The following is a 22780-nucleotide window of genomic DNA, read 5'->3' as shown; positions in this document are numbered from 1 at the left end:
GCTGTGTGCTAGTCACCTTGTTAAGTGCTGTGGGTCATAAGTATAGTTCAAGGAAAAATAAATAACAGTCAAAAGTATTTTAGAGAAAGAGCTGTGCAGAACAGGCTCAGAAGTTTTCTCAATTCCTACTCCCTGTCTGGTGTTAGTTTGCTAGGGTTACCATAACAAAATACCATAGACAGGATAGATTGAACAACAGAATTTTTTTTTTCCCCCAAAAATTCTGGAGGCTGAAATTTCAAGAGCATGGTGTTGGCAGGGTTGTTGGCTTCCCCTGAGGCATCTGCTCTTGGCTTGGAGACAGGTGCCTTCTCACTGTGCCCCTACATGGCCTTTACTGTGTGTGTGCCACCCCTGGTGTCCCTTATAAGGGCACCAGTTTTATTGGATTAGGGTCTCACATATGACTTTATTTAGACTTAATTACCTCTTTAAAGGCCTTATCTCCAAATACAGTAACTTTGGGGTTAGGGGTTCAACATATGAATTTGGGGAAACACAACCCACCCATAAGAGTAACCATTACATAAATGTCTATAATGTGCAGTGGACATAAGCCAAGGTGGGTCAGATACCACATACATGGAGCTAGGAGCATGGATGCTTCAGCCAGCTTGGGTTTAAATCCCAAGTCTGCTACTTCTTAACTGTATAATCATTGGTGAAATTTCTTAATGTTAGTGCTTCATCAGTCAACCTGTTATACCAGACAATAAGAGTACCTACCTCCCAGGGTTAATGTAAATTGCTTTATATCTATTACGTTAGTAAGTTGAAATAAAAGTTGGCTATTAGTGGTGGCTAAATGGTTTTAAAGATGGTGTTACTCCTCTTTCTCCTCTAGATATAATAGGAACTGTGAGAATAAAAGGTAAGAGAAAAGACAGGAAATCAAATGCTTTAATTGAAAGATATTAACATACACCAAGTTTTCTTAATTATAATCATTTATTTTATTATAATGTGAAGAAAGGTACAATATAAAAAGATACTTGGATTCCGAAATTTGTAACTTAATTAATTGTTTTTACAAATCTTTGTTGAGCACTTATTACATGTGAGAAAGCGTTTCTGGTATTTTGGAGACAGCAGGGAACAAAATAAACAGGAATTGCTATTCCAGTGAAGCTTACATTCCAGGATGGATATATATCACCTCCATATTTAACACTCATTTCAGAAATAGGGGAAAGTAAGACACACCCAATAGAAAAAAAAAAAAGTCAATTGACAACGTCATACAGCAAGTTAATATTGTTATCGCGTAGCCAGAAAAAAATACACAGGAAGCATACTAACTCTGGGGCCAGTTAGATGGGCTTCCCTAAAGAGTCCCTTGACCCCTGTGATGCCGGTTTGGGCTTTTCTTACCCCACGTCCAGGCACCTGGACCATCTTCTCGCCCGGCCCGGCTCGGCCCTGCCCCGCGCTGCGCGTGGAGCGGGAGGGAGCCCGGCCCTCGCCTCGGTCCCGGCTGCGGGGTCGCCGCCCGTCTCCCCGCCCGTCTCCCCGCCCGTCTCCCCGCCCGCGGCGAGTCCACACTGGGGCCGGGTGTGAAGCAGCGCCGCGCACCCGGAGCGAGAGGGCCGGAGGTCCTGCCTCTGCCCCACGGCCGGTGGCCAGATCGGCAGGTCCCTGGTCCCGGCGCGGTGGCCGCCCAGAGCGCGAGTGACTTTGTCTTCTGCTGGGTGACTCCTGGCTCACGTCACCGGTTTGACAGCCTCTCACCAAATCACAGAGCGGCGCTCGCCGGGAGCTCTGGGCGTCACCGGGAGCTCCCGCAGATTAGAACTCGCCTCTCCTAGCTCCTCCCCTCAGTCTCATTTAAAGCTCCCACTGGTTTTACTGAAAAATTGAGTGGGCTCAGTTTCTGCAGCGCTTTCTTCCACTGCAAGATGGTAAGTGAGGAACTGGCGTTAGCTAGTCCGCTGGCAAACTTGGGTCTCTGAAAGTTAATAAGCTTTGCATTTAGAATTTATTCCACCTTCGGAGCAAGATTTCTCCGCTACCCGCCAGTTAAAACAGATCCTCTCTGCTGCCCTGTGTCTCTTTTAGTATCCTCTATCTGCTTTCTCTCTCTCTCTCTCTCTTTCTCTCCCTCTCTCCCTCTTCTTTCTCTCCTTTCTCTCTCTCGCCCTCTCTCTCTCTTTCTGTTATTACTACTTTCCTTACTTTCTCCCCAACTTCCCCCTCCACCTGCACTCACTTTTCATTCTACCTCTTCCTCTAGATTATGCATATATTTGCAAACACTTGGACATGAACTTGTCTAGGGATATTTGAAGTTTGTTTTCTTCTCAGGTATCAATTGCATAATAGCTTAGCTCTGATTCCAAAAAATAAAATAAAAAATAAAAAACCTCAGGGAAAGAGTCTGCAAACATGCTTTTAAAATAAAAGAAAATTGCACTTGATAAACTTTTGGCTGAATTTCTTTGGTCTGCACTGCCCAAGCTGGACTTGCTTCAGAACTGGAATTTTTCAAAACTTAATTTACCGAGAACATTAACAAAGTGCGATTGAATTGACTTAACTTTTTTTTCTCTTTTTTCTTCTTATTTGTTTTCTCTCTGTTTATGTTAATGTCCAAAGAAGCCCTGTAGTAGTCAAAAAGAGTTTTTCCAAAGCTGGGCTCTGCTAAAATGAATGGCTTTTACCTGATTAAACATTGACAAATAATTTAAATTTGGTGTTGTACAAATTAACCCAGGAAGGCTGCATACCTGCCCCTGCCTGGACGTATGGAAAGACTGTGTGTTTGAGGTTCAAGAAGTGGAAGGCAGGAGAGTGTTCACTGGATCAGAACACAGTGGAGAATACATGCCAGTTAATGGCAAGATAACTTTGGAGGGGCACTGAGCCCTAGTGATGGACAGAACTAGAGCTTGCTGTCTTTGCTAACGAACTTCTTTCAGCTTTGATTATACGTTTACTTGGAGCAGCTTTGTGGTCCTGTGCTTAGTGTTGGGAGCAAAATGTTTTAATTATCTCTGGGACAGAGATAGATAGATAGATAGATAGATAGATAGATAGATAGATAGATAGATAGATAGATGATAGGCAGACAGACAGACAGACAGATAGATTGATGGACTATGAGCCAGCAGTATGTTAGGTCAGACGGAGGAAAAAGGAAGGAATAAGGCAAGTATGATTCAGAAACAAAAATGAAGACGTTAGTCTATATTATGTCACATCCATTTCAGCTTTAGCATTCTGCGTTCTTTGTCCTTCAGGAGTTTTAGAAATATAATTAAGGTATTTGCAGAAAGAACCAAATAGTTCTTATGGTTTTGAATCATTAAGTAGAATTCCCTTTATTTAGATCTGGGTAGACTATTAGATGGGCTGGTCGTTGCAACAGACAATCCTCCTGGATATGTACAAATTTCACCCATTCAATGCTAGTCTGCTCTTTTGCTCAGAGGGCCTAAGGGAAATTCTGGGTAAACCAAGAAACTCATTCCCTTTTAGTAATTATAATTTGACCACCCCAAAATTAATATGGATCTATACTTAACACCTTTTCTGATTTTTTTTCTTTATATTTCACTGCATGTAATTTCGGTATTTCTCCCACCCTTTCCCCCTTCTAAATCTCCATCACCCCATCTTTTGGGACCCCTCACTCCCCCCATACTGAATTTCACAGAACACCATTCTGCCTTGCCAAGACCAGTACTTTGTAGGAGGCCAGAGCTATAATTGCCCGTATTCCACTACAACGTCAGAATCTAGTGTTGACGTTTCCACGGAGACTTGGGTCTCTTTCTGGGCTGCTGGTCTCCTGGACAACAGAGAGCTCCAACAAGCACCACAGGCACAGGGTAAGTTCTGCTCTTCTGCTTCCCTGATAGATCTGGAGCTCTTTTCCATACCCGTGGCTGCGGAGCATCATGGGCTGGGACTCTAGAATAAGGGACGATATGGAAAATTTAAGTAAACCCAAGGACTCCTGATTTTTACAGTCATAAAGCCTGCTGCTTTACACTTGCCAAATAGTGAAAATGGGATTCTTTACCTTGCCCACTGGATAGCATGTATTTCTCCCTACAATTTACAGTTCTTGGAGAGTCCTATCTCACTGAGGGAGTGTGAGTCTGGATCAAAGTTTTATAAACAACACACCAGCAGAATGTCTTTGGAATGAGGATACCAGTTGGAACACTTCTTTTGGAATTCAGGAAAGTTTCCCTGAGTTTGAGAGAAAAGCAAGAAATACTAACTTAATTTTTATTTCATAGAGGAAGTTCCATGGATAGTGTGTTAGAAGTTGAAAAAGGATTCCCTTTTACACACACAAAAAGCTTCAACTTTGGAGAGAACTATAGCATTGATGTAAAATGACATATTAATCTTGATCTGTGGCATACCAGCAGTATTTATAAATATTAAAGAAATGTCTGTGTTAAACACTCAAGTTTCTTAAAGAATTCTCAGACACCCCAGAATTAAATATCCATACTGTTGGTTCTGCTACATGATTTGTTTTATTTTTTAAAAAGACACAAACAAAGGAACCCCAAATATTAAAAGCACACTTAAATGTCAGGGAGGACATTGTTGAATATTAGCTTTCCACTACAAGCAACAGTAAAAACAAAATGCCCAAGAATGTGAACCCAAACTACTTATGCCATTTTATTCCTATCTCCTTACTCATCATTTCACTTTAATCAAAAATATTTCAGTATCAACAATATAACCAGAGAAGGACAAGAGTCTAAACTGTACTAGATGAAGAAAAGAAAGTAAAAGTAGACCTGGTTAGTATGCCCAACCATAGTTTTTTATTGATAGATAGAGCTGACTGTCAAATATGGGGGGAAAAGGCACTTTGAAAAAACATTTATAAAATATACAGATTAGGACAGTTGAAACAGATAAGGTCTGGGCACAGTTTTGAGATTTTCATTAAGATCTTCAAAGAAGCAAGGTCCAAATTGTTTTAAAGTAGAAAGTGCTACCACATAAAATTCCAAATAAATACAGTCCGTTAGATTAAAACAGGCAGGCAGACAGGCAGAGAAACTAGTAGCATTACAGACTAGAATTTAATTATAGAGCCAAACAGTACATTATCAAGTGCTAAAACTTAGAAAATAAGATAAAAACTAGAAAAACATAATGGAATTACAATGTTATGCCGAGTTTGGGGGAGATCAATAAGTATTTGCATAAATTAATGACAAAGACTGGACAGTCTTTAATTTATCCAGCAGGAATACATATATTAGGCAAGAATGTGACCCCTTACTGCTTAAAAAAATTTACCTTTTTAACTGCTATGTCATACAGCATATAAATATTTGTCTCTCACAGCTTGCTTGCCTTTTCTAAAAAACTTTAAATGTCTTGTTTTCCTGTATGGCAGCAATAGCTGTTTAAGAAAAATAATTGAACCTATTAAACTTTCTGATTTGATTTGATAAGTTTCTTTATTACACAGAAACTACAAGATTATTTTCTCAGTTATCTATTTGTATTTTCACAGAATCATTCAGTGACTCAAATTTTCCTCTTCCGGACTTGTGCTCATGGGAAGAGGCTCAGCTTTCCTCTCAGCTCTACAGAAATAAGCAGGTATGTGTAAGTCAGAACATTGAGACTGGTCATGTTCTATGTGGTCCATTCCCCACTGCTAATATCTTGCTTCTTTTCCCTTTTGAAATTCATGCTGACTCAGTTTAGAACCAAAGTGACTGGTGTGTCCAAAGAGAGATCAAAGTTAGATGATCAATGTCAGAGAAAAGAAAAACAAGCAAGACACTCTAGAAAGGCCTGCAGTCAAGCTCTCACTTTACACATTTTAGCCGTATGACCTTGAATCCTTTTCCTTGTCCTCATTTATGGAATTGTAAACCTTGTACTGCCTATCTCAGAGAGCGTTTGAAAAGATCGAATGATATAATGAGTGTGACAGTATTTTTAAACCATAAGCATAGCTAATACTTGGAGAAGACATAATGATTATAAAATATTTTCCTAAGATTGCTTTTTACATGTTGTGTCAGTTTTGCCCCTGAAGGATAATTTAATCTAGTGGACATACAGACAGATCAATCTGAGGCTGAAAGAAGCCAACCCACCTCTATTTTTATTTATTTATTTATTTAAACATGCAAGGGAGGAGTCCAGCAAAATCTTCCTAAACATCATTTTCTATATTTAATTTAACCTAGTGGACATACAGACAGGTCCATTTGAGGCTGAAAAAAGGCGACCCACCTCTATTTTTTATTTATTTATTTAGAAGTGCAAGGAAGGAGTCCAGCAACATCTTCCTAAACATCATTTTCTATATTTAAACAGTTGCATGCAGCTCATTTTCCTTCATATCTACCTGATTCGCTTGTGGTTACAATTTTAAAAGTCTATTATAATCTCTCCAAATGCTTTGCAATGAATGAACATTCAGAGCACAAAGCTGAACAACTAGGCATTAGGGGGATGTAGATTTAATTTAGGCCTCTCAGGATGAGGGCTCCCTGTGCTTGTGTTCATACAACAAACAATCATCAAGTTTAAGGCAGTTAAGGAGCAGTGGCATTATTATAAGGTTACAAAGTCAATATAGTGGAGCAGCCTTCACCACTGTCTGCTTTTTGTAGCTGCAAGATACCCTGGTGCAGAAGGAAGAAGAACTCGCCAGGTTACACGAAGAGAATAATCACCTCAGACAATACCTGAATTCTGCTTTGGTTAAATGTCTTGAAGAAAAGGCCAAGGTATGTATGATGTATGTATCTACTTTATAAGAACAAAGCAGTGATTTGAGAAAGGAAATGATTTATGTAAAACTCCTTGATTAAACAGTGTATCTTGATATGCATTTATAAGATGGATGGTTTTTCTTAAGGAAATAACGGCTCTTTCACAAGAATTTTTATCTATCATTTCTCTGAAGTACCTAGATTGCAGATGTCAGTCTTATGTTACAAAAGAAGTTGCTTAAAAATCAAATGCTAGTCGAGGGTGGGGGTTGCTGAGACAATCAGTGTTAATCAAAAGGCAGAATTAGATGGATGGAATGCTGGTACGGGAAGCAGATCTAAAAGACACTCAGTTCTTTTAATGATCTGTTTGACTTTAGGCAAATCATTCTTACTTAGATCCTCACTTAACTTCATCTGTAATGGATGGTCTAAAATATCTTTTAAAAATTCTGCTAGATCTAAAATGCTGTGAATATTGCCTGAGCCCAAATCTCTTGATTTGGCATTTACAAATTATATTAGGCAATTAGGCATACACAATTACATTATCATTTAATTCACATTTTTTCTCCACTTTTAAAATGAGCTATTTCTAACTCAAGGATAAATAACTTGCCAGTAGTCTTCTTTTGTTCATGCTCAATTCTTTGCCTTTCAATTTTTTATTATCTAGTTGCCATTATGTTATCATTAATGCTTTCATCATCAATCTTTTCCATACTTCTAGACAAGCTGCATTATTTGAAATTATTTGATCTAAATTGATGATGCTTCTTGCTACTCTTACTAAATAGAGCAGTTCAGAGAATAGAAGACACTAGATTTGATTTCTTTACAATTCAGTTGCCTTTGTTAAAAAGAGAATATTTTAAGAGAATAGGCCAGGCTATTTTCCTGGGCTCCTAACTCCAGCCACCATTCCATAAAAGGACACTTATTATATTACTAAGTGATAATAACTAGGCAGTTTTATCTGTCAGTCTTAATAATTTTCCAATATTTAGAATAATATAATAATATATCTCAGAAGTGCTTTGAAAGTTAATGAAATAAGAAGAAGCAGTGTTGTATAGTGTTTAATCAGAGGATCTGTGTAGATTTGGGTGGCTTAGGTTTATGTGCAAGCTACATCATTCTCAGCAAGTCATTAATATATCTGTGCTTTAGTTTCCTCATTAATGAAGATTTTAATAACATCTATATCCAATGAGATAATACATGTAATCAGTGCTTTATAAATTGTAGTAAATGATAGTTCATTTATAAATGATAAAGATATTATGTATAAATAATATTGTTTATAAATATATTTATATTTATTTATAAATATTTATTCATATAAATTTATGAATATTTACTTATATAAATTAATATTTATTAATATATTTATAAATATATAAATATTTATAAATATATCTATTTCTAAATATTTATAAATATATATTAATAAATATTTTTATTTATTTATAAATATTTATAAATAAATATAAGTATTATTTATAAATATTTATAAATAAATATAAGTATTATTTATAAATATTTATAAATAAATATAAGTATTATTTATAAATAAATGATAGTTTATTTACAAATGGTAACTTAATAAATGATAGTGCTATTATTGTTATAATAATAATAACTTGCCGGTGCTGAAATCTTAAAAATATCATCTGGTCCTTTCAACATTTAAAACAATTGAGTAAAAAATGTGATTTAGAGTTTTTAGGCAGTAACTTGTCATCACAGATTTTACTTTACAAACAAGCTAATCCAATCCATCTTACTTGTGTGAAGAGAAATTTAAGCATTTTTTCCGAAATAATTTAGTTAACTAGTAAATATATGAAAAAAGTATAACTTTCAAATATCACTTCCCTAGAAATTGCTCTCATCTGATGAGTTCTCCAAAGCATATGGAAAATTCAGGAAGGGGAAGAGAAAATCCAAAGAGCAAAGATACTCTCCTGCTGAGATTCCCCATCCCAAAAATGCCAAAAGAAACCTCTCTAGTGAATTTGCTAACTGTGAAGAACAAGCTGGGCCCCCTGTGGATCCCTGGGTCCTTCAAACACTTGGGTTAAAAGACCTTGACACTATCGATGACACCTCATCAGCTAACTACAGTGCCCTCGCATCTCATCCCAGAAGAGTCGCCAGCACATTTTCCCAGTTTCCGGATGATGCAGTTGATTATAAAAATATCCCCAGAGAGGATATGCCAATTGACTATAGAGGTGACAGAACAACCCCCTTGCACAGCACTGCCACTCATGGAGAAGATTTCCACATCCTTTCTCAACTTTCAAATCCCCCAGTGGGGCTGAAAACTCTTCCTTACTATACTGCTCATGTGTCACCCAACAAGACAGAGATGGCATTTTCCACATCCCTGAGCCCTCATTGTAATGTGAAAACTCATTCCTTCCACCAGGGACAAGCCTTTGTGCGTCGAGATGAGGAGGGAGGCTGGAAGTTTACCTGGGTCCCTAAGCAGTCTTAGTGACCCCTCTTTTATCACAAAGCACTGCCACGAACTCTGTTTACAAAGACCTCTCTTGCACTTGAATTTGACTATGTGGAACACAGAAGCTGTTGCTTAGACTGTCTCCTGCCACTTTAAATGTCACTCTCAATTACCCACTTAAATCTGCAGGGAATGGCTTCCAAGAATCCATAATGAAACGTGTCCGCGCTTCTTTTACCTAAATTTGACTTGTTTACACACCAATACCTGCTATTGACATCCTCTCTTTGCCCTATACTTGATAAGGTATTTTCCACTCACTTCTATATTCCTTTAAGACCTAGATACATTTTTCCAATTTTAACCAGTTTAACAGATTTTCCTCTTTTAAGTAGTTGAAATATTCACAGCCCTTTTACTTTTCTCCCTTTGTCATTTCTGAAAACTGTCTTTAGAATGAGCCCTATTTTTGCTTCAAGTACTTGCTACTGCATGTTCAAATAGCTGAGGGTGGGGTTGAAACAAGTGTCTTTGCCCATCACCACTACTCCTGAAGACATAATGTGGATGTGTGTAGCATTATGTTCATGGCAGTTCAAAAAGTTCAGTGCCCCATAGTGGCATTGACAAAGCCTCTTAAAACAACTGTAACTCCACTAATAATCAATATCACAGATAAACTTTAAAATTACAAAGAATTTAAATTATTTTTAAATGCCTCATGATGTATCAGCTTCTATATGTACCCAGCATCATTTCTTTAACCAACATGACTCCAAGAAGAACATTTTGAGGGACTGTGGTAACAAAACTAGTCATCATCTGCAACTACCCAGATGCTGACAAACTCCTATTGCTGAAAATAGACTAACCTAGCTCAGCCATTGTCTCATTCATTCATTCATTCGCGTATTCATTTTTTCATTGATCAGTCCACCCAAGAAATCTGTAGAATACCTAATGCCTACTTTGTACCAGGCACTATGCTATGTGATGGTGATAAAATACAAGCAATTTAGACACTGTGGCCACCATCATGAGACTTAGACCTACTCATCTGCTATGACTTTGCGAAAACGACTTCCCTTTTGTGAAGGTTCAGTTTCCCAACTGTAGAATACAGAAGTTGGACTAGATAATTACTAATATTCTATGAATTGAGGCTGGGTCCTATCAGATTTACTCCAACATGGCAGTTTCAGGTCACTGAAGAAACTAAAGAGAAGTCTTTAGATAGGCACTGCAAGTATTAGGTAGGGTAAACTTTATGTACAATTAATAAAATTCAAAAACATAAGTCATTTGAAGTTAACATTAGAAATCATTGCTCTGATCACAGTACTCTTTTTCTAGAGCCCATTTTGCAGTTAACTCGGCGTAACTGTGTAAGAATAATTTGCCTCTAAAAATAGATACATATTAATTTTTAAATAAGTGCGGATAGATTGCATATAAATATTGCTATCAAGGACTTCATATTTCTAAATTTGAAACAATATATTTTCAGTGCTTGTGCTAGTTTTCTTCTTTCCCATCTCTCAAGACCCCTATCATTCCCAGAATAATTTGCACATCCTGCATGTGCACCTATGTTTTTTGGACAAACTTCAATTAATGATGAAATCTTTCATGTTGAAACCTGTTCTCATTTTTCTCTTTTCCACATCTCAATAAGTCATCTTGCACAATCAATATCTCGTAGGTCAACTGTGTTGGTTAGGATTCTTTGTAACAGAGACATGCCTTTCATTGTTGTTTCTGTTTGGTTGTTGCTTTATTTTGGTGATGTAAGCAAAGGGTCTGTTTTATAAAGTTTTGTTGCCACCCACTTTTAAAAATAATTTATGAAGAAAATCCAATATAGTAATTAATATTACTCTCTGGAGTACTTTAAGAAGTAGAACACATTCCATTTTCTAAAAAATAAAATAAAATAAATAACTGTGCCTTTTACATTCTGGTATCTGGGCCCCTGGTCGGTGAAATTTGTCGCTTTTTAGAATAAGAGATTTAAGGATTCGAATTATTGTACTTTATGACACTAGGAATTGAGAAAGTAATATAACTAATTTTGAAAGTCTAATAATCAAGCTGTAAAAGGAAATGTATGAGTTAACAAATATTTATTTTGCATTCTTTGTGTGCCTTATCATGTGTTAAGTACCATGAGGGTACACCCAGGCTTAGCACAATGCATTTGGTATACAAAACCATGTAAAATGTCATAGCTTTTGATAGCTTTTAAATGAAACTTAATTTTGGCCCAGTTTAAAGATATTACCGAACATTTGGGATAAAATGTGATGGTTTCCTGGCTTCTATCATGGACGATGTTATGGAAGACAATTACCACGTTTTTGAAATCATGTCTATAAATATTTAATATCCATTTAAATTATGTATAGAAAATTATTTTGTTCATGTTTTAGAAATTAAACATTTCTTTCACCTGAGTATATGTTTTACTTGTATGGCTTCACCATGTCTCTCTGGTAAACCACAGTTAATATTTTAAGCTATAGTGGGAAATAAAAACTCTTTTGTGATTGCGGTAACTATTTTTATACCATGCTTAACATTCCCTAATAGCAGATTTTCTTCTCCTGGTTTGTAACCATAATCCTGTGTATTTGCTCTTCTTTGTATGATGTCTATGGCCAGACTAATGACTTCAGCATTTAGGGCTTGATGGTTCTTTCCCTTCTCTAGGGCATATTAATGAGGCTTTCGAATGTTAAGTGGCTTAGAGTCCAGTGCCTTCTGGGTACACTACTCTCTTAACTAGCCACACATAAAAATTAGAATCCAGTATCAATTTGTTAAATTTTCCAATGTCCTCTGATCATCTGAAAAATAAATCATACTTGTATCTCACTCGTATCTGGAAAAAAAGGTTGTTGCTAAGCTTCAGCTATGAAGGTGATGTTAAATAAATGAGATTATTTAAGACTTCAGTGATGCTAAACTATAAGTTTGAAAAATTTGAGGAAAAGGAGCAATATGAATTAATGGAAAAAATTATCTATTTGATTTAATTCAAGAAAACGACTTTTTTAAAGGAAGAATGACAAATGGATTTAACAACCCACCTGTAGCATAGATGTGGAGAAAAGTATAGCGTTAATATATCCAGTGATAAGTTTTTGATAAATATTACATCTTGCTTGTAAGGTCAGGGTATATAATTTTACCTGTGTTTCAGTTTACCAAAAGATTCACATAAGATTAAATATTAAATTCTGATATTTTTCTTTATATTTCACTAAATCAAATAGAATTTGTTTTCAAGCTACAAATATATAATGTTTTTCAACTTATTTTTCATATTTTATCTGTTTTTTGTTCTATAAACATAACCAGACATCCAGTTTTAATTCTTGTATCAAATATCCTGCAATTGTTAAATATAATTTAACACTTAATATTTTAAATAATATGATTTCTATATAATTTGAAATATTTCTAATTATATGTAAGAGTCAATTTTGTAATGAATTTATAGCTAATAAATAATCACAAAAACTTAATCCTACTTTTGGCCCTTATTTTGGAAACATTTTTTAGCGAATGGAGCAACGAACCAAGAAAAAGTTTTCTGTACCCATTTATTCTGTAAATTTTGTCACAGAAAAAAAAGCATGTCAATTTTCAAATGTATGAAATAGTAGTATGATTAATAATGGAGGTATTTATTCAACAGCTATAGCCTCAGCTGAGATATAGCCTCCGTTTCAGGCTCAGCTGAGGATATAAGGATGAAATATGTGTTAAAACTAACTTGGCTATAAATGAGAGAAACATAATTTAAATATGCTTAATCAAAGCAAGGGAATAATTGGCTCTCATCATTGATGTTTATATTTCCAGTATAGTTGGATCTATGTGCTCAAAAAATGTCAGCAATCTGGTTTGGGATTTCAAGGAAGGCTATGATTAGGAATAGATTATTGAATGTTGTTAAGATAACACTCACCTTACAAAAGCATGACAGAAACCAACATGGGATAAGGTCTGTGAGCTTAAAGAGCAATTGACATCTCACAAAATATTCTCTAGTTTTGTGACATTCCACCTCAAATGAATAAAGCCTCAGTTAAATGTTCCAGATTGATTTTAGTTATACCATGAGGAATTATGAAAAGACTAGGGTATCCACATATGAAAATTTTGAGCAGGATTATCTTGAGGCCACTATATAGGTATATAGCCATATTTTCCTCAGGGAAGGATTAATATCAAGAGACAGTGATTTGAGACTTGCATCTCAGGGCAGTAACCTGTCACTACATGGAGATTATCTTGTTATCAGTCATGGATAACCTGGATTTTATTTAGTTTTCTTACAGTGGTATTTTTTTTTCCTTGGAGAAAACTATGAATAAACTTCACTCACTTTAAATAATCCTTGAATAGGAATGTAATTGATGTAAGTTATTTCAAACATATTATCACAATGTGTTTCATGTCTTTATTTCTATTTTAAAGATAAGAAAACTGGTTCTAAGTGTTATATGGGCCACATTACAATAGTTGAGGCCCAAGATAAACCCTGGTGCTAATGTTGGGTCTAATACCTTTTCTACTATTGTTGCGGAATTTTCTCCTTTGTTCAGCTAAAACCAGCTTTTTGTCACACGAATAGGAAAGATTAGGCTCGCGGACACACAGAAGGGTGAGGAGTGGAATTTATTAGGCAAAAAGGAAAAAGGAAAAATAACTTTCAGCAAAGAGTCCTGCAGGCAGGTTTCCTGCCTTACATATTGAAATCCCAGGTCACCCCATAGGAACAGGAGAGGCCAGGCTCCTCACTCCTGCAAACGGACACGAATTTCTTCAGGCTCTTCCCCATCTTCCCAGTGCACAGGTGGGCATTATTTGGACAGACTCAGTCGGGAAACGGCAGGCTTCATCCGGAACCAGCAGTCCGGTTTTTCAGCCTCCGGGCTGTTTTAGGCTTGAAGGCAGGGTTTCACTGGGGACACTTGGCTGTCTCCTGTCTCTATCACTATCACACATAATGATAATATTTGGCACTAGCAAATATGCTTACAGTCAACAGGCTGTCAGAGACTATTACAAATCTCAGAGATAGAAGTGTAAAGTATGGAGGAACTCTTAAACCTTTCCTTACTTTCAACAGAAGGATATTCTGGTGCTGAAGAATTTCATTATTGCTAACAGGGCTTGTTCACAAGGGACCTAATTCATCCTCTATCATTTCAAAAGAGAGAAATTCGGATGAGTAGAGTAGGATGGAAAAGCGGGCTATCATGGTCCAAAGTATTGATATGCTTCTTAAACAAAAAAATTCAAATAAAGGGAAATAAATCTGTTTCTCAATTACTGTTACTAATATTAAAGCCTAAAGTAGCAGTGTATAAATGATCCTTATGAAAGTCTTCCTCTTCTTCCTTTAATACGGAAAATAAATTTTATACCTGTTTAAGTAATAGCATTACTCCCTTTACTGTCATTCCTTTTCAGTATAACTCAAAGGGAAAGTAAAACAGTGAATAGTCATATTTATAAACTGACTCATTCTAACACACTGGAGTCAGTCTATCCTCACACTTTGGAAATCAGTGGTTAATTGATACCTTTTCAGGAACATGACTGCTGTTTTTGTTGTTGCTTCTTATTTCTACACCAAGTTTATAATCTGAAATAATAAGGCATAGAAAGGGTATTTCTAGGTAATTTCTCATTTCAAGAGAGTCCTTAATACCAAATGACTAGCCCCTCAGGGATAAGGCCCAACTATCTCAGGAGCTTTATAAAGATTCCCTCAGGGTCCTCCAGTTGCTGTGAAGTTGACAGCAAGAAATCTCTGCAATGAGTATGCGCTGAGAATTCAGAATCCCTTGTTATAATCAGGCAAAAGGCAAAACACACCTTCCTTTCATTTTGCTCTCCTAGGATTTGCCATCTTCCAGAAGCCACAGAGTTATTCTTCTTCCACCCCTGGCCCACAGGGAGTCTTGGGTGGAACCTGGAAGTGGCATCTGCACAGTGCCAGGTGGCCCACCCATGAATAGAGCCGTGTGTGCACCCCAGGAATCTCAGCCTCCTTGGGGAATTAGAGCACCATATTGCCAGAACCTTAGCCTTTTCTTCCACTGTTTTTCAGAACCATGACTAGTCCCACCTAGCCAATCCTGTTGTCCTCCCTCCAAATTTCCACAATAGTTGTAATTAGCAGGCTGCTTCCTTTTGAAATGATAAGGGATGAATCAGGTTTCTTGGGAGCCATCCTGTTAACGACGAGAGTAAAAATGGCTGGTGACTCAGCATAGCCCTAGATGATGAATGGAAATATCCTTTCAATGACCTGGAAATGGGCTTCTGGAAGACCATTTAATATGTATAGTAATTATTAGAATTTATTTATGTCAGTTGATCCGAATACAGAGATTCCCACTCCCTTTCCTACAGTGCAGTGATATTATGAACAAAGAAAGACTGCAGTATAAAAAGTAAGTTCCTCCACTCATAACTGTCAAGCTTGGAAATTAATTTAACTTTTCTCAGTCTCAGTGTATCCACATCTAAAATGGAGGTAATAGTGTTTGTCCTATATGTTTACCAGTTTTGTGAGATAATCTTATAACTTTTAAGGACCGTGTATATGTTAAATTTCTATCATACATCCTCGATCTTCACCTTCACATAGAGTAAAAATCCATTTCAATTTAATTCGCAAATGTAAAGCTTCACACTTGATAGAATGCAACACTATTAAATCAGTTAGAGATATTTTTACTGATGAAATTCAACAAATGCCCACTGTTTTCCTATTGTCTTCAAAGTGAAATTTTATGTTTTAGGCACTATAGCTCATGTCTTAAAAGAGTTTACCAGTTAGTAAGTGGAGGGAAACTAGGAAAGGATTCATTGAAGGCATGATATCAGAAAAATGCTTTGGATATAAAGTTAGAATCACAACAAGTAGACATAGAGGTAGAACAAAAAGCTCAACAGCACCAAGTGTGGGGCCTATGTAGAGAATGGTAACTTTTCCAGTTGACTGCAGGGTAGGTTTTTATAAAATGGTGTATATATTCTTGAAATGCAGCAGACGCTTCTGTACAATGAAACACACAGCTTCTATGAATGTTTTATCAATAATAAAAGGGAAGTAGTGTATATCAAATCCAAAAGAGTCAAGACAATTGCTTAGATATGTTATTTGTAACCTCAAAGCATCACTTTTCATGTTGATTGACATTGGTATCAGTATGGTAACTATTAAAGGTATCCAACTTTCGTAGATGTCCTTTTTAAAGCTTTTCAATTTTTCAAGACTGAGGCAGGCCTACCCTTTATAGACAAAATTATGGGAATGTACGTAGTGAAAATTACCAGCTGTTCTTGATGCATATCCACCAGTTTTGTTTCAAAATTATAGGTCATTTTTTAAACATGATATTCCTATATTTCTGTAAAGATCTTAAATGTACTGCACATACAACATGAGGACTAGGGAGAGTATATGGTAGTGGGCATCATCTTTCTGGAACATACAATGAGAAAAGAGCCTATCCTAACCCTCCTAACCCTTCCCCCCATTAGAGGAAGAGGGGGAGGAAACTTCCCCTTTGCAGGCAAATGGAGGTATGCAAGAGAGTCATGTGAAGATGAGGAATGATGGCAAGAAAGGGAATGTAATCTTTTTTCCTTATATAGTCACTGGCTGCAGCAACATGACCTGGATCCAGGGCAATGAAAGAGGAGACAGCAGAGTAACCTGGATTCCCAACATTTTTCAAGACAAAATAATTACTGTGGTTGATGAAACACTGCAGAAGTTCAGCAGAAGCTTCTGTTCAATAAACTTGAGACATCTTAACTTTATGTTCCCCACCCATCTCCCAGGCAATGATCTGAGCTGCAAGAGGCTGTAGATTAGACAACTGATAGTGTGAGCTGAAGTTAGGAGAAGGAGCTGTGAGAAATGGTCAAGGCAAAGCTATGTAGAAGTTTTTCAGGTCCCTAGAAGGACCCCACGAATATATCACACCAGGAGCATAACTATATAATTTATTGTACAAACTATGACGTTTCTGGAGTGACAAATACTGAACTGGAAGCTATGTTGGGGCAATAGATACAACCCTAGGTTATTGTCACCAAACCAAGACATAGGTCCACAATATGTAGGAAAAAACAGCACTTCTATTTCTGCCAGATAAAGGACACCAATAGCTAGTCATGTTATCCAGGGAAGCAGCAACTTTGAGTAAGAATAGACTAAACTTCATTTTATTTGCTAGATATGAATCCAAATTATAAGAGACAAAAATAAAGTATGTCAAGAAAAGACCATCTCCTCCATTCTTAAGTGCCTTGGACCACACGTTTAACCCACATTGGAAGAGGGAGATCAGTTATAATATTATCAGTCCACCAGTTATAAGATTAAAGTTTAAAACACATGGACTCAGTTTCATGGACGAAAGCGACCTAATATTTATGATGTTTACCTCAAAATAGAAAGTGTAATTCAATATAGCAAAGCTAAAATCAGCCAAAGTGAAAAATAAAGATAATTTTCCTTAGTATTCCAGTGAATAGAGGTCTCCCAATAAACAGACTCACAAGTGGCTGTTGAGAGTGAAATATTAGTTGGACAAATAAATAGAGTAGGCTTTTTGAGATGAACTGGAGTGCAAATGTACAGTAAAACAAATTTGAGTTTCCATGAACTTCTCTTCAGCAATCATTAGGCGCTTATCAGCAAGTCATAAATTACCAAATAAATATGTCAAAGCCTACAACTTTAAATTTCCACAAATTACTTCAGTTATTTGCATATGAATTTATATATTTTTAGTAAAAGTGTTAAAATGTGTAATAAATTTTATATACACACATATGTATATGTGAATCTGTATATATGTAATATCAAACAGTAAGTTTATAATTACTTTTTCATAAAGAAACTATCATATTTTCAGGTTATTAAAATTTTTCTGCAATATGATTTTCAATTAATGCATGGTATGGCTATTTGTGAATGTACTATAACATATTTAACTAATTACCTCTTCATATGAAGGTTACTTCCAATTTTCTTTTTTCTTTTCTTTCTTTCTCTTTTTTTGTTGAGATGTGGTCTCACTCTGTCACCCAGGTTGGAGTGCAGTGATGCAATCTTGGCTACTGCAACTTCCACCTCCTGGGTTCAAGAAATCCTCCCACCTCAGCCTCCCAAGTAGCTGGGATCACACGTGCATGCCATCACACCTGGCTAAATTTGTGTATTTTTGGTAAGGGCTGGTTTTCTCCGTGTTGCCCAGGCTTGTCTCATTCTCCTGAGCTCAGGCAATTCACCCGCCTTCACCTCCCAAAGTGCTGGGATTACAGGCATGAGCCACAGTGCCCACCCCAACATTCTTTATTATATGTAATGTAACTATATATATATGTATAATGTGGGAACTTCTTGTGGCTACACGTTTTCACTGCTTATTTCCTGAAACTGTAGTTGTTTTGTAAAAAAGTATTTACACTTTTAAGAGTTTTGAGGCCCGGCGCGGTGGCTCACGTCTGTAATCCCACCACTTTGGGAGGCTAAGGCAGGCGGATCACTTGTCAGGAGTTCCAGACCAGCCTGGTCAACCTGGTGAAACCATGTCCTTACTAAAAATACAAAAATTAGCCAGGCGTGGTGGCATATGTCTGTAATCCCAGCTACTCGGGAGGCTGAGGCATGAGAATCGCTTGAACCCGGGAAGCGGAGGTTGCAGTGAGCAGGGAGCATACCACTGCACTCCAGTCTGGGGGATAGAGCGAGACTCAGTCTCAAAAAAAAAAAAAAAAAAAGGTTTCAAAATAAATAGCAAAAGGAAAAAAAGCCCTAGACCTTATCATTCCTTTCTGAATTTGTTTCCACACTGCTATAAAGAACTACCTGAGACTTCTAATTTATGAACAGAAGAGGTTTGATTGACTCACAGTTCTGCAGTTACCTAGTATCAGGTAGTTCTTTATACCAGTGTGGGAACGGACTAATGCACTGCTTTTAAATCATTTGTTGCCTCATGTTGCAAAATCTTACATTGATATTAACGCATCTGCCAACCTAAATTTGGTATAGCTCTCATGTATTGAAATAAAACCCAAGAAAATTCTGAAAATAAAACTCAAGAAAATTCTGGTGGACATATGAATTTTCAGGGTTGATTTGGAAGTTTAAGTTAATAAAATTACTGCAATCAATAGGACTAACACCTAATTTTTTCTAAGCTCTCTGGTCAATTCTGTGAATTGATGAGAGTGTTGAATTTTGAGTTGAGTGGTTTACTTTGTAAATAATGTACATTATTTTCTCATTACAGATATAATCTATACTCATTTTATCCACGGATCATATTTTATAGGGTAATTTATTATCAAAGGAAAAGAGAATCTCCTACATATTGCAGATAACAAAGTAAGCTAATTTATCAATCCCTCCTTTTCTTCTGTATTCCTCCAAATAATTGAAAAACCCAAACAGCAGTGATTTCTGTTAAGTGTATTCAAATTTATTTTATATATTTGAATACTTTAATATTTCTTTGTGCTTTCTCTATTTGCTTATAAGATCACAAAGTTATTGCTCATCTAGAAATCTGATGCAATGTCTATTTTTCCTGATGCTCACTCCATCATCATGGGCAGATTTTTTTATATAATTTTGGCAAAATAGAGACTGTCAAAAAATTACTTTTATGCAAAATATTGATAAATACTTTTTTCTGATACTATCAATCGTTCTTAAATTATGGTTTTATAAAGGATTCCCTAATAACATATTTTTCCTTGATAACATTGTATTCTGAAATATGCATATAAATTTAGGAATTTTATATATTCTTATATATAAGGAATCAATTATTAAATATGTATTAAATTATTTAAAAACACAATTGCAACTTCATTGTATAAAATGATTTAATTTTAAAATGTGTATATATAGACAAAGCTAAAAACAGAAACTAGATAAACAACAAAAAGCGTTTGGGGTGGGGAGCAATAGAAAAAAAGAGAATTTGGGATGACATTTTTTCCCTGTCATTTATATTTTTGCTAATATCAAAATCAAAACAATTTGGAGAAAAGCTAAAGAGACATAATAAGCAAAGGTAATTACCAGAAGTCATGGTGGTGAATCTGTGATGAATTTCTATCCTCCTAAAGCAAAGAATTGTCAAATACGTGCAGTGGAAAGAGAAAAAACGTTATATGACTGTGTTAGACATTTTTAAGCAACAAATACTCAAGACGTTTTATTTCTAAATGGAATGATGATATTTAAACTATAAGAAGTAACCATTCTGGATTCTTATTTATTCAAATCCTTCTATTAATTGCCTAGTTATGTAGTACTAATTCTTCATTATTTTTGAATAAAACAATACACTACTTAAATTAATTCTGAGACTTTTATTTATTAAGTTTTAAATCTTACTTTTCAAATTGGCAAAAATTAAGGATGATAATGTACAGGAATGTGGAGAAACATTATCAAGAAATGTGGAGAAAGATGTCCTTTTATACATTGCTGTAGGAAATGCAATAAAGTACACTTAATTGATTGAAGCAAAAAAGCAGTCAGTGTCTATAATACACAATGGTTGAATACCTATGTGTGTACGTATGAGAAGAATTTTGTGTGGATAAAAAAATGTAGGATACAACTTTGTGAAGGGAGAAGGAGTGGAGTTTGCTGTGTGGGAGGGAGCCTGGGACACAATTTCCTTCCAGAATTATAAAGGGAAAGCAGGGCAGAAACCTTTGTGCCATTATGTCATTGCCACTCATCTTACTCTTTTTAAGGTGCCCCTGCTGTCCAAGGCTTTAACTAAAATAGAGAGGAGAATATAGCAAATATATGACAACCTGCTTTCTCTTTTCTCTTCTAGCTTGTTTATGGTCGAGTTCTACAACCCCATCTAGGAAATAATTTTATCTCTATGAAATGTGACTATTATTATATATCTGTAATACTGTGTTCAACATCACAGCTGAATTTTTTTAACATTTTTTTCCATTGTATGACTACTGTAACACGTTCAACCCCACTACCACATGAGAGATGGATGGCTCAGCTTGTCTAGGTACAAAGGCATATACATAAAAGATGAAAGAAAAAAGCATTTCTACCATATAAATAATATTAATCTTATTAAATATGAGAGAACTAAGAAAATATTTATTCCAATCTTTTTATCCATGGATTTTAAATTTAATCAATAGGCTTTGGAGTCTGTTTTAACCAACATTGTGAGGAATGCTGACATATTGAATGATTTTAGAAGCATTTAGTCCTCAACTTTACAAAGGCTGGTTAAAGCAGACTTCCTATTATGCCTAGACTCAACCCAAATGTAAGATAATCAGTTGTTAAGTTCCCCCAAAAGGCTCATATCTACACTCATTAGAATAGATGCTAATTTTCTACTTAACAGTTACATGGCTTTATGCAGATTATTTAACCTCTTTAGAACTTTGCCTCATTTGTAATATTGGCAACACTATAGTGCTTAACTCAAGTTTTGACACAATGATTGAATGAGTTACACTGAAATATTTAGAACTAGTCCTGACACATACTAGGTAAGATGCAGAAATGTTAATTATTATAATCACTACTATTATAATCATCTATAAAGAAACACATCAAGGTAGAATAAGAAAGCTTGGAAATGCAAATTATGAGAACTGGAAAAGATTTTCTAAACCACATAGATCAATTGAGTGTAGCTCCTGCGAGAAGTGCAATCAGAAAGTAGGTAGTTCAGCAAGGGATAGAGACTCTGAGAGTGGAAATCTGTGGCCAGTCAAGTTATGATGACTCCAACATGGTATCATTTTGCTCTTGAATTGATCTCTTTCCCTGTAATTATTGTTACCATCAACATATATTGGACCCATAAGACATTTTCTTTACTTCAATATATGATCTCTGATAAGACTTTTGTTCCTTTAGCATTGTGGGAGAAAGAAAATCATTTATTTTTACAAAACATTGGTATATTTTTAATCACATATGCTTATATGATACATATTAGAAAACAAAACTAAACACATAAAGCAATACACATAGAGCAAAAATACACATTTATGTGTAGAAGCAAAGATGAGAAGTATTTTTTAAAATACACATTTATGTGTAGAAGAAAAGGTGAGAAGTATACTGAAATGGGCATAGTGACTTTGGGAACTGCTGATTTTTTCTTTTTGTTGTATAAATTTTCAAACGTGTAAAAATAGGGAAAATCCTTTATGAGCCCCATGTACTTCAACAATTATCAACATTTTCACATCTTGTTTGATCTGTTCAGAACTACTACTATATTATGATCACCATTTTGAGTTCTTAAAAACAGGTATAAGATATCATGCCATTTCATCCAAATCACTGTAATATACATGTTCAATTATAAGTAACCACTAGACCCTTATCACATCTAACAAAATTAATATTAATTCCTTAATATAGTTTTTTACTTCTTAGTAAAACCTTTATTTTGTAACACTCTTTTATTCTATAACAGCCAAACTTATCTAATACTTTTCTATACAGCATTGATTTGTTAAATAAACTGGCCATTTG

General features: G+C 35.7%; 1 protein-coding gene across 2 annotated transcripts; it reads left to right on the top strand.

The window, feature by feature from the left end:
* Window positions 1-1816: 1816 nt before the first annotated feature.
* GMNC (geminin coiled-coil domain containing) lies at window positions 1817-21240 on the top strand. Of its 2 annotated transcripts, XR_924161.3 has the most exons (6): window positions 1817-1898; window positions 3653-3827; window positions 5495-5583; window positions 6612-6728; window positions 19518-19612; window positions 21087-21240. XR_924161.3 is itself a non-coding variant. In NM_001146686.3 (5 exons), the coding sequence occupies exons 1-5, from the start codon at window positions 1896-1898 to the stop codon at window positions 9214-9216; spliced, it is 1005 nt and encodes a 334-aa protein (NP_001140158.1). In that variant the 5' UTR covers window positions 1817-1895; the 3' UTR covers window positions 9217-11774. The 2 variants fall into 2 exon arrangements, 1 of the variants encoding a protein (NP_001140158.1); NM_001146686.3 differs by lacking the exons at window positions 19518-19612; window positions 21087-21240 and adding an exon at window positions 8596-11774.
* The last annotated feature ends 1540 nt before the right edge of the window (window positions 21241-22780 follow it).

This window comes from Homo sapiens, chromosome 3 (genome assembly GCF_000001405.40).
Source record: "Homo sapiens chromosome 3, GRCh38.p14 Primary Assembly".
Lineage (NCBI taxonomy): Eukaryota > Metazoa > Chordata > Mammalia > Primates > Hominidae > Homo > Homo sapiens.
Note: the sequence above shows the minus strand (reverse complement) of the source record. Positions and strands in the feature narration are given on the sequence as shown.

What these genes read in the sequence shown, in the direction of transcription:
- GMNC (NM_001146686.3), top strand. An exon ending in AGCTCTACAGAAATAAGCAG is followed by an intron (nt 5,584 to 6,611) that starts GTATGTGTAAGT and finishes TGCTTTTTGTAG; the next exon opens with CTGCAAGATACCCTGGTGCA. An exon ending in GTCTTGAAGAAAAGGCCAAG is followed by an intron (nt 6,729 to 8,595) that starts GTATGTATGATG and finishes TCACTTCCCTAG; the next exon opens with AAATTGCTCTCATCTGATGA.